General features: G+C 52.7%; 1 long non-coding RNA gene and 1 pseudogene across 2 annotated transcripts in view, besides 3 other annotated features; one reads left to right on the top strand and one right to left on the bottom strand.

Annotated features, from left to right (window-relative positions):
- HPN-AS1 (HPN antisense RNA 1) overlaps positions 1-12,029 on the top strand; it is a 47,246-nt gene that overhangs the window by 16,732 nt on the left and 18,485 nt on the right. The window contains exons 2-3 of one of the 2 annotated variants that reach the window (NR_024561.1): positions 2,473-2,617; positions 9,920-10,036. This is a non-coding gene — a long non-coding RNA (HPN antisense RNA 1). The remainder of the gene's footprint in view (positions 1-2,472; positions 2,618-9,919; positions 10,037-12,029) is intronic. The other variant, NR_024562.1, reaches the window with a different exon arrangement.
- On the bottom strand, positions 741-9,705 carry LOC100420797 (Fc gamma binding protein pseudogene; annotated as a pseudogene).
- Positions 3,085-3,194: an enhancer, noted in NCBI's record as "active region_14455". NCBI's record gives its function as "activates an Ori minimal core promoter by ATAC-STARR-seq in GM12878 lymphoblastoid cells {active_cell/tissue: GM12878}" and the evidence as "EXISTENCE:reporter gene assay evidence [ECO:0000049][PMID:35858748]".
- Positions 3,305-3,354: an enhancer, noted in NCBI's record as "active region_14454". NCBI's record gives its function as "activates an Ori minimal core promoter by ATAC-STARR-seq in GM12878 lymphoblastoid cells {active_cell/tissue: GM12878}" and the evidence as "EXISTENCE:reporter gene assay evidence [ECO:0000049][PMID:35858748]".
- Positions 4,641-5,455: an enhancer, noted in NCBI's record as "H3K4me1 hESC enhancer chr19:35575022-35575836 (GRCh37/hg19 assembly coordinates)". NCBI's record gives its function as "activates a minimal SCP1, AML or CMV promoter by ChIP-STARR-seq in naive H9 embryonic stem cells {active_cell/tissue: H9 hESC(naive)}" and the evidence as "EXISTENCE:reporter gene assay evidence [ECO:0000049][PMID:30033119]".

The following is a 12,029-nucleotide window of genomic DNA, read 5'->3' as shown; positions in this document are numbered from 1 at the left end:
TCTCAACTCTGTCTGTTGTGATTAGCAGTAGACAAATGGCTTTACCTCTGTGAGCCTCTGTTTTCCCAAATGTAAAGTGGGAATAATAACAGTCATTGCCTCTCACTTGCAGGGTGTTTCTGAGACAGTGGCGGCAAGAGGTACACAGAGCCTTCGGCCCCATGCCTGGGACATTGTAGATGTTCAATAAGTATTAGCAGTTGTTGGGATTATTATTGTGGCATCTCAGGTCAGGCATTCTGAGGGTGGAAAAGGACATCCCCTTGACAGGGGGCCAGGGATCCAGTCAACCCAGGGTGGTATTCAAAATACATAGCGGGCTGGGTGCCATGGCTCATACCTGTAATCCCAGCACTTTGGGAGGCCGAGGTGGGCGGATCACCTGAGGTCAGGAGTTCGAGACCAGCCTGGCCAACATGGTGAAACCCCATCTCTACTAAAAATACAAAAAATCATCTGGGCGTGATGGCGGGCACCTGTAATCCCAGCTACTTGGGAGGCTGAGGCAGAAGAATAGTTTGAACCCGAGAGGAGGAGGTTGCAGTGAGCTAAGAACAAGTCACTGCACTCCAGCGTGGGTGACAGAGTGAGACTCTGTCTCAAAAAAAACAAAAAACAAAAAAAAACATAACAGTCGGTAGCATACAGGCCCCCTACCAATCCACATGCGTCCAGCTGGAGCCTAGGAGGAGAACCTGGAAGGCCTTCCTGTGCTGGAATTGGGAATATGGGAAGTGGTTGGGGCACTCAGGCAGCCCAGGAGTACAGAAGGATGTCAGTCTGTGTGTGGCCATACAGAGCATGCAGATGAATTCCTGCCCTGCTCAACCATGACTCACCACAGAAGGAAGAATTCCTCTAGTGCCTGATGGTGATGTTGGCGCCCTGGCAGATGGCGGCATATGTCTGCAGGGCCAGGCAGAGGATGTGGTCATCATCCCCAGCAAGACACAAATCATCGACACAGCTGGAAACATATGGGTCTGGGTTGATCTCCCAGTGGCAGTGGCTGAAGGGTCCTGGGGGTCCTGCAGGAGCCAGCACTGCCTCCTGGCTGACACAATCTGCCCCTGGTCATTGCAGACTGAGACTGGACAGGCAGCCCCACAGCTGTCCCTACAAGCCTTGCTCTGCTTCTCCAAGGTAATGTCAGCCTTAGCGTCCTCACTGGGGTTGCAGTTGAAGTTGCCTCAGAGCCCACAGGTGTGACCCTTGTAGAGGTGGGGCAGGGTGAGGGTAAGGCTGTAGGTGAGATCTGTGCTGAGCCAGAGGCCAAAGTCTGACTGCAGCAGGGAGAAGAGGCCATTCCAGTGGACGGCAAGGCTGCCCCCATTCAGGCTTACGGGGAGGGCTGTTGTCTCACCATTCACCTAAGGAGCAGGCAGAATCAAAGGAAGGCTCGGGAGCATAGGACCACAGTTGGGTCAGTGTTGCTTGGCACATAGTAGGTGTTCAAATACGTGAAAAATGTTGATTTTTTTTGATATAGGGTCTCACTCTGACCCTCAGGCTGGATGCAGTGGCACAATCATGGCACACTGCAGCCATGAACTCCTGTGTTCATGCGATCTTCCCACCTCAGCCTCTTAAGTAGCTGGGACTATAAGCTGGGACTATAAGCGTGCGCCAACACACCCACCTAATTCTTTTTTAGATACGGGGTCTCGCTATATTGCCTGCTTGAGACAGGCTGGTCTTGAACTCCTGGGCTCAAGGGATCCACCTGCCTTGGCCTCCCAAAGTGTTAGGATTACAGATGTAAGCCACCGTACCAATACATGTAAAACATTTTTAGATGAAGGAACAAGGACATAACTATAATAGTGACCATCTCTTGTTTTATCCTGTTCTGCATTCATTTCTCCTTTCTCTGGATTTCCCTGAGAACTCACCCCTCCAAAATCAATCCATGTGGTTCACAGAAAGTCAATCCTATCCTAACTTCCAGCACATGACCCAGGCCCAGCCAATCAGCTAGTCCATCAGGGATTCAGGGGTGGTCACATGACTCAAGCTGGGCCAGTGAGGGACACTTTTCCTCCAGTGACATTTGCTAACCTGGCAGCTGTCCTTGTCCCTACAAGGTGGGATGGGATGGTGCCTGTCTGAAAATGAAGGAAAGGAGAGCCCAGAAATTGAGACAGATTTGAGACATATTGTTCAAGCACCTGGGTCCAGCTATGCCTGAATCCATACACCTGTAGATTTTTTTTTTCAATTGTGTAAATCAGTAATTCTTTTTTTTCTTAAGCTGGTCTGAGAGTGTTTCTGTTATATTAGCTGAATGCATCTGATGGATATAGTCAAAAATGGGCATATAATCAGAAAATAGAGGTAAAATGTAGAAATAATGGAGACAGAATAAGTTTTTCCCTTGGGCCTATGGGTTTGGGTGAAGGGTTGGGGTTCCTAGAAACGACACGTCCCAAAGCTGGTGCTTATCTGAGCCATGCCTGGGCTGTCCCTCCGCAGGTGGACCTGGGTCCCATTAACCTGGACAGACACCTCCAAGATGAGCATGAGGGGGCTGCTGGATCTGTTCTCCTTTCACAGCTGTATCCTGAAGAATGGCAGTGAGCCGGAAGAGCCACAGGATTCGGCAAAGACGGACACACAGGTACCTGAGAACTCAACAGTTTTCCCATCAAAGGTGATGATGTGTGAGTGCCCGGCTGCTTGGCAGGTGCCAGGGGAGAATGGGTGGCACCCAAAGATGCCCCTTAGGGTCCCACATCTCTGCCCTGGCCCACAGGAGGAGGGGGAGCAGCACACAGCATGGGTGGAAGCCTCGCAGTGGCAGAATTGCTCACAGTGCTCCCTAGCCCAGAATGGCTCCCCGGCCAGGTGGTATCTGCCCCCCATGGAGCAGCTGCACTGGATGGGGGTCAAGCAGTCCGTGCCACTGAGCACAAATCCTGGGTCACACTGGCAGCCATCCTGGCATGGTGTCAGACAGCTGTCGGGCAGGGCAGGCTCGGTGCAGGAGCTGGGACAGGAGAAGCCACACAGCTCGTAGTGGCTGTCGGGGGGCCAGGTCAGCTCTGGAGGAACACAAGTCATTCAATGCAAGGATGTCAACTCACTGCCCCACGTTCAAATTATGTTCCCTGCTATCTCCCCAGAGCCCAGCTCACGGCAAACCTCAATGGATATTTGTTGGAAGAATTAATGAATGTGTCGAAGCCTTTTCTATAGCACATATTTGTTCAACTTTGGCATCCACTACATGCCGGGAACATCCCAGGGCCTGGGGACACAGCAATGACCAAGACAGAGATCCCTGACCTCATAAAACAGATGTTCTAGGGCAGACGTTGACAAGCTTCACCCTTGGGCCCAAATCTGGCCCTCCACCTGTTTTGGCACAGCCTACAATCTAAATAGTCTTTACATGTTTAAGTGGTTAGAAAAAAAGAAACCAAAAGAGGAAATTTTGTGAGGTGTGAAAATCATGTAAAATTCAAATTCCGGTGTCTATAAATAATGTCTTCATGAAAGCCAGCTCGCCGGTTCGTGTATTGTCTATGACTGTTCTTATGTTACAACAGAAGCTTTGAGTAGTTGTGGCAGAGTGTGGCCCTGAAAGCCTAAAATATTTATTATCTGGCCTTTTATCATAAAAGTGTGCTGGCCTATTCTAGAGGGGGGAAATGGGCGACAAACTAGCAATAAATAAAAGATAATTTTGGATTGAGAAACTGGGTTAGATCTGTGTTACCCAGCTTTAGGTAGCGCAGAGTGGCTGAGCCCCATGGGCTGATTTGAGGACAGTGGCTAGGGAGGCCTCTCTGCAGAGGTGACATTGGAGCTGAGGCCTGAATGATGGAAGGAGCCAGCCGTGTGTACGTCTGGGAAAGAGCATTCCAGGCCGGGGGAACAGCAGATGCAAAGACCCAGGGGTGGGAAGGCATTTGGCGTGGTCCAGGGACAGCAGAGAGGCCAGTGTGGCTGGACCCTCGGTGTGGAGTGAGCTAGACAAAGCCAGTGTAGGAGGAGGCAGGGTGAGCAGAGAGAGGCCGCTGTGGGGGCCTCTTAGGAGGAGGCTTGGAGGTCAGTTTTCATCCCAGAGGTAAGGGGGACCCAGGGATGCTTTTAATCAGGAATCTGATGAGATCTGACCTATGCTTTTTCATTTTTTTTATGTTTTTGAGACAGAGTCTTGCTCTGTCACCCAGGCTGAAGTGCAGTGGCACCATCTTGGCTGACTGCAGCCTCCACCTCCACCTGGGTTCAAGCGATCCTCCCGCCTCAGCCAGTGCACACCACCACACCCAGCTAATTTTTTTTTTTTTTTTTTGTATTTTCAGTAGAGACAAGGTTTCACCATGTTGGTCAGGCTGGTCTTGAACTCCTGACCTCAAGTGATCCACCCACCTCGGCCTCCCAAAGTACTGGAATTACAGGTGTGAGCCACTGTGCCCAGCCCTAACCTATGCTTTTAAATGCCTTATGGTAGGTTCTGGTGACACACTGGTGACCAAGAGAGACCCCATCCCTAACCCTTGTCTTTGGGGGTTTCACAGATCAGGGGAAAAACATACTGGAGGAGAGATTGCTGGGGAGGGTTTTGTGTGTGTGTGTGTGTGTGTGTGTGTGTGTGCGCTGGCGGAGTGGGGGTGTCCCCCAGTCTCAGGATTAATAAAGAAAGTCAGAAAAGGAGAAATGTCCTGGGTGGGATGTGGGAGATATTCCAGCTCAAAGTTCATCTTAATTTGAGCACCCAGAGTCTGGGGGCTGGAGGAGACACCTGCACCCTTCCTGGATGGGTTTCCTGGATTCCTGCTGCCTGGAATGTCCCCCCGCCTCCCCGCTCCCCCAGCCAGCTCGGCTCCCTTTTCCACCACCTTCAGTCTCCACTCCCAGGGCACCTCTCTGCACCCCAGGGAACCCTAACCCCCCAGTTTAATACTGCATGCCCCTTCTCCAGCACTCCCCAGCCCTGCCCCGCCTGACTTACTGTTTAATCACCTACTTACTGGCTGGGTTGACTGATTGTCTTCTCCACTGGAATGTCGCCTCCATGAGGGCAAGGTTTTGTCTGTTTGGGTCACTGCTGTGTCTGCAGCGCCTAGAATGCTGCCTAGCACTTAGTGGGTGTTCAGTTAACCTTAGTCAAAGTGTGTGATGCCCCCGGGGCTTGTCTCTGGCTTTGGGAGGAGGGGTGGGCCAGGCAGGCCAGAGGCCAGAGCACCCACCACCAGTCCCTTGTGTTGGCCTTCGGAGCTTGCAATGGGCTGTTTCCTTTGGACAAAGAGAGGTTTTGTTTGCAAGATGCTGAACTTGCTTCCTGCTCTGAGAGGAGTGAGGGACTAGGGGCAGAGAAAAGGAGTTGCGCCTTGGGGTCCTGGAGGTTAGAGGCCCAGTCCTTCGGGATAAAGTCCTCACTTCTTGCCTGCCATTCAAGGCCCCACAGACACAGCCCAGGACCATGTCTCTCTCCAGGCTCCCCCATCTCTGGCTCAAATTTACACAGTCTCTGGGCTTCTGAAAACCTTGTTCCTTCTCCCTAGAACATTTGGCTTCTCCTTGCTTACCTATTGGCTTTGACTTGTCATTCAAGCCTCAGCTCTCGTGGCCCTTCCTCTGGGAAACTTGGCCTGACTTTCCAGGCTGGGCCAGCCCCTCCTCTGTGCTCCCCTGTGGCCCTACGCTTCCCTCATGTGAGCCCTGATCACTCTGCCGTGGCTGCCCCACCACAGACTCGGCCACCCTGGCAGCGTGTGGGCCCTACGAGGTCAGAGACCCGGCACTTCTCAGTCCTGCCCTGGCCCCTGCATCACCCAGGGCAAGATCAGGCCCAGGGGGACCCCTCCCTGCCACTCCCCAGCTGTGCGGCTCTGTGTCTGCTCTTCATCTGTGAAATGGTCGCGTTGTCCCATTCACACCAAAGGGATAAAAAGATGGCTCAGGACCCATCTCAGCTGCCTGCTGGACTGGAGAGGGTGTGGGCCGGGCTGATCCCAGGCCCTCCCCAGGACAGGCTGACCCAGACTCTGGGACAAGACCTGCCAACAGCAGAGCCCTGTGGTTTTGATCTCAGGACAGAGTGATGTTAACACAGGTTAAAAGTCAATTTCAGGCTGGGCACGGTGGCTCACCAGCACTTTGGGAGGCAGAGGCAGGTGGATCACTTGAAGTCAGGAGTTCAAGACCAGCCTGGCCAACATGGCAAAATCCCATCTCTATTGAAAATACAGAAATTAGCTGGGCATGGTGGCATGCTCCTGTACTCCCAGACACTTGGGAGTCTAAGGCATGAGAATTGCTTGAACTCGGGAGGTGAATTTTGCAGTGAGCCGAGATTACACCACTGTGCTCCAGTCTGGGTGACAGAGTGAGGCTCCATCCCCCCTCAAAAAAAAAATCAATTTCATAGTGACAGCTAATACTTGTAGAGCATTCACTATATTCACTATATTGCCAGCTACTGTTTATTTGTTTGGCTCTCACAACAACCCCACAAGAGAAGTGTTATTTTCACCATTCTTTCTCTTGTTAAAGGGGAAACTGAGGCACGGAGAGGTTAAGTGACGTCCCCAAGAGCACACAGCTGAAAGTGGTGGTACTGGCATCCTAACCAAGGCAGGCTGACTTTGGGATCTGTGTTCTCAATCTCAATGCTATACAGATCAGTGGGATAATTCCCTGCTTTGAAAAATGAAATAGAATAGAAAAGAATGTAATGCAAAGTATTGAGTGCATTTTCCTATTTGGTGACACTTTGTGTGCTGTGTATGCATATATTGGTGTGGTCAGCTGAAGAACAGCCCCTCAAAGATGTCCACAGTCTAATCGCTGTATCCTGTGATACGTTACATGGCAAAATGGACTTTGCAGATGTGATTAAGGTTCTAGACCTTGGGAAGGGAGAGATTAACCTGGATTATCTGGCTGGGCTCAGTGTAATCACGTGGGCTCTTAAAAGTGGGAGACAGAGGCCAGAGAGTCCATCAGAAAGAGGCAGGGGATTTCGAAGCATAATGGGGACTTGACCTGCTGTTAGTGGCCTTGAAAATGATGGAAGGGGCCATGAGCCAAGGAATGTGGGTGGCCTCTAGAAGTAGACACCAACCCTCAGGTTACAGCCAGCAGAGAGACAGGGCCCTCAGTCCTATAGCCATCAGAAACTGAATTCAGCCAACAATTTAAATAATTAAGGAAACAGTTCTCCCCTAGAGCCTCCAGAAAGAAATGCACTCCTGCAGACACGTTGATTTTTAGGCCAGCGAGAACTGTGTTGGAATTGTAAGAAAAAATTTGACATAGCAAGACCCCATCTGTACAAAACATTTTCAAAAAATTAGCTGGAGTTGGGCCGGGAGGGGTGGCTCATGCCTGTAATCCTAGCACTTTGGGAGGCCAAGGTGGGCAGGTCATGAGGTCAGGAGATCAAGACCATCTGGCTAACATGGTGAAACCCCATCTCTACTGAAAATACAAAAAATTAGCCAGCTGTGGTGGCAGGTGCCTGTAGTCTCAGCTACTTGGGAGGCTGAGGCAGGAGAATTGCTTGAACCCAGGGGGTGGAGGTTGCAGTGAGCTGAGGTCGCGCCATTGCACTCCAGCCTGGGCAACAGAGTGAGACTCCATCTCAAAATAAATAAATAAATAAATAAAAATTAGCTGGGTGCAGTGGCTCACACCTGTAGTCCCAGCACCTTGGGAGGCTGAGCAGGAGGATCGCTTGACACTAAGAGTTTGAGAACTGCCTGGGCAACATAGCAAGACTCTGTCTCTACAAAAAAAGTTTTAAAAATAGCCAGGTGTGGTGGTGCATGCTTGTAGTCCCAGCTACTCAGGAGGCTGAGGCAGAAAGAGCACTTGAGCCAGGAGTTGGAGGCTGCAGTGAGCCATGATTGCACCACTGCACTGCAGCCTGGGTGACAGAGCGAGATCCTGTCTCAAAAAAAAAAAAAAAAAGTGTTATTTTAAGCTGCTGAGTTTGTTGCAATTTGTTACAGCAGCAAGAGATAGAAAACTAATAGAATTAGATCCTGAAATGAACTATATTTTGTATTGTGGGTCTCCAACAAAAATGTTTGAAAGACTGCTTAATGCTCTTGACAAAGATCACTTGGCAGCAGGACAAGGGTGAGAGGCCGCAGACATTTGTCCTTTGGGCACCAGCCAGTACTACTGCCCACTGCTAACCTCATCCCAACTTCTGCCTGGGCAGTCTCCCCAAGGGCAGAGCCCGCGGTCAGGCAGAAGTCAATCGGAGACTCACATTCCCCTGGCCACAGTGAGAGGTACAAGAAGGAGTCAGTTGAAGCCACAGAGACGCAGTGCAAATCATGCTGGAGCTTCTGAGACCCACGGAGCTCTCTTTCCTGCTGGGCTGAGAAACCTGAGTGGCTGCAAGGTGTGGAGCCACTGTGGTCAGGGTGAGCCTGTCTGGATGTGGAGCCAATTTGGTGGGAAGCATGAAACCAAGGCCAGTGATGTCGAGCGCCTCACTGGGCCAGGCCTGAAGTAGCTACTCTGAGATCATTAATTATGCAACCCCACAAAATGGGCGGAACTGGTTTTCTGGACCTGGCCGGCAGAACGTGCTGGCTGGCATGGAGAGGATGCCACTCACCGCAGTCCACCAGGTGTCTCCAGGGCCTCACTAGGAGGCCGTGCTGCTGGCACTGCTGGACATAGCTCCCCAGAGCCTCGCACAGGATCTGCCGGGAACCCCTTGTGGCACAGAGGTCACGGATGCAGTTCTCCATGTGGACTTGGGCCTGGGCCAGCTCATCACAGGCCTGGAAGGGCCCATCGTGGGCACCCAGCAGCCCACAGAAAGCCAGTGACTGGTACCGGCCCTCTCGGTCATGGGGGCACAGAGGGGCAGTGCCCACGGTGGAGCAACTGGCTGGGGAATCCAGGCCCTTCAAGCTGAGTGCAAACACCTCCGGGTCAGGCAGGAGGGAGCCATCAGGGGCATGGAAGTCATCATGGGGGTCCCCGTTGAAGTCCCCACACAGGCTGCAGAGGGTGCCAGCGTAGGACTCAGGCACCATAATGGATACATGGTGGCTCCAGTCGTAGGAGACCAAGAGGCCAGCGTCAGTCTCCAGCATGGCCCCAGAATCGCTGAAATAGACGTGCACTTGGCCGCCAGCCAGGCGTAGGGGCAGGTGGGCCTGGGTCCTGTTAACCTGGAGACACACCCGGGGCCATGTCCACATCAAACACCCCTAGGTGGGTCTGGGAATCCCTGAGAACCTTTGGGGTGAGGCTGTGTCCCCTCAAGTCTTCCTAGGATGTGAATGGGTCCTCCCCGGATTCCTGAGTCTAAGCCCGCCCTTCTGGGGCCTGATCCCAGCCCCTGCCCAAGCTCACCTGTGCCCTCCCGGGGGTCTGAGCCTCCATCATCACCTTCACCCCGTGCACGTCCACTTCGATCGGCCGAGCCCCAGTCATGAGGGCCGTGGGACTTAGGTACTCATTGTCCACCCACACTGTGAAAGCTTGTGCCCTCAGGCCGGCCTGACAGGTGCGGCTCAGCACATAGTGACAGGCACCCTGGGCTGTGAGGGCTGTGCTGTTGAAGCTGTGGTAATGGGGGTCACCTGACACCCAGCTGCTACCTCTCCGGACCCCACAGTACCAGGCCCCGGTGAGCAGGAAGCAGGCCTCCCCGTCCTCACACGCCTGGGGGCTGCAGTGGGGTGGCTGCCCAGCCTCCTTGCACTCACACAGCTCACGGCAGTTGGGGCTCAGCTCCTGCGGTCCCAGGTGCAGAATGTGGCCCTGCTGTGGGGTCGGGGCCTTGGCATGGGGTGAGTGTGATGGCGCAGGTTCCCAGCGAGAGGCATTCAGATAGAAATGCACTTGTCAGCAAGAAGGAGAAGATGCCATGAGGCTCTGAAACATAGCTGGGACTACAGGTACGGGCCACCACACCTGGCAAATTTTAAAATTTTTGTAGAAATGGGTTCTCACTACGTTGCCCAGGCTGGTCTGGAACTCCTAGACTCAAGCGATCCTCCCACCTCAGCCTCCCAAAGCACTGGGATTACAGACATGAGCCACCGCACCCGGTCAGGTAAAATTCTTAAGAGGAAAAGTAGGAGAAGATTGGTGTGTTTCCATCAGAAAGCCTGGGTGAGTGCCCAGGAATGGGTGAAGGTGGGGAGGAGAGGAGGGCAGGCTGAGCCCTGGGCACTCCAGTGTTTAGCGTGTGGGCTGATGGGGACGCATGGCTGGAGGAGAACCGGGAGAATGTGGGGTCTTGGAAATTGGGAAGAGTGTCTCATGGAGAAGGGAGGGACAGGGCTGTGTCAGACATAACTGGCGGTCAATCAGGATGTGGCCTGAAGATTGACTACTGTCCTGGGGGGACCTCATCGAGAGTAGTTTTGGCTGCATGAAGTTGAAGGCGGAAAAAGCCTGACTAGAGAAGGTCCGAAAGAGAGAATGAAAAGAGAGGAACTGATAGCCAGCCGTGGTGATGTGCGCCTGTGGTCCCAGCTACTCAGAAGGCTGAGGTGGGAGGATCAATTGAGCCTTGGAGGTCAAGGCTGCAGTGAGCCATGACTGCACTACTGCATTCCATCCTGGGCCATGGAATGAGACCCTGTCTCTCAAAGAAAGAAGAGAGGCATTGGAGGCAGTGAGCCTGACAACTCTTCTGTGTGCTTTTCTTGTACAGGGTATGTGAGAAATGAGGTAGTGGCTAGAGGCGGAGGAAGGATTGAGGAGAAAGGTTTTTGAAGATGGCAAAATTGTAGCCTATTGGAATGCAGTGAGAAGGATCTGGTAGAAAAAGGCAAATTGGCCAGGCGCAGGTTCTCACATCTGTAATCCCAACACTTTGGGAGGCCGAGGTGGGCAGATCACTTGAAGTCAGGAGTTTGAGACCAGCCTGGCCAACATGGTGAAACCCCATCTCTACTAAAAATACAAAAATTATCCGGGCGTGGTGGCACACACCTGTAATCCCAGCTACTTGGGAGGCCGAAGCAGGAGAACCGCTTGAACCCAGGAGGCGGAGGTTGCAGCGAACCAAGATTGCACCACTGCACTTCAGCAGAGCGAGACTCTGTCTCAAAAAGAAAAAAAAAAATAGCAAATTGATGGTGAAGCTCATTGGAGCTCAGCATGCATCAGAATCCCCGGAAGGGCTAGCAAAAACAGACTGCAAGCCAGGAGTGCTGGCCTGCACTCCCTGTAATCCCATTATCCTGGGAAGCCAAGGCAGGCGGTTGCACTGAGCCAAAATCGTGCCACTGCATTCCAGCCTGAGTGACGGAGACCCTGTCTCAAAAAAAAAAAAAAAAAAAAAATTCAGATTGCATGTACCCACCCAGAGTGGTGGTCTTGGGTGGGACCCAAGAATTTGCATTTCAAACACATTCCTAGGTGCTACTGATGCTACTGGTCTAATAGCTGCACTTTGAGAAGCACGGATATAGAGGAGAGGGAGAGGAAGCATTGCTGGGAGATGCAGGAACTGTCACAGAGGTGGCCAAGCCAGGAAGGAGCACAGACCACCCTCCATCATGGCAGCCTGGACTGTAGGTGGAGGGTTGGGGAGTGCCTGGCAGGTTCCAGCTGATGCTACCAGTGAAGTAGGAAGCGATCTCATAGGCTGAGAATGAGTTCCAGGGAGGAGGTTTGGTCTAAAGGGAGAGGAGTAGGTGTGAACAGGTGGCCAGGGAGAGGAGGTGAGTGAGGGTGCCAGGGAGGTGGAAGGAAGGTCCTTTCAAGTTCACAGTCACAGGTACGACACCAGCCCAGGTGTGCTCTGCTGCCTACATGCAGGGGTGAGTGCAAGTGGAGAGGTGTGGTTCACCTGTGGGGTATTGGAGGAAGGAGCGCAGGAGGTATGAGTGTAGACAAGCAGGGATTTGAGAGGGAGCCTGATGTCCCAGAAGGTAAGAAGTGGGGAAGCACCGTAGGCTCAGTAGGCTCAGCAGATGGGGCGGCCAGTGAGGTCAACCAGTCAGGAAACCAGAGGGTGGGCGGCAGAAACTGGGTTGTATAACAGAGAAAGGTGGGGTCAAGGGGACAGGTGGCGCTGAGGCCCCGGAGGGCTG

The sequence above is a fragment of the Homo sapiens genome, chromosome 19 (assembly GCF_000001405.40).
Source record: "Homo sapiens chromosome 19, GRCh38.p14 Primary Assembly".
In the NCBI taxonomy this organism is placed as follows: Eukaryota; Metazoa; Chordata; class Mammalia; order Primates; family Hominidae; genus Homo; species Homo sapiens.
The sequence above is the reverse complement of the archived record's forward strand: the minus strand, read 5'-3'. Positions and strand labels throughout refer to the sequence as shown.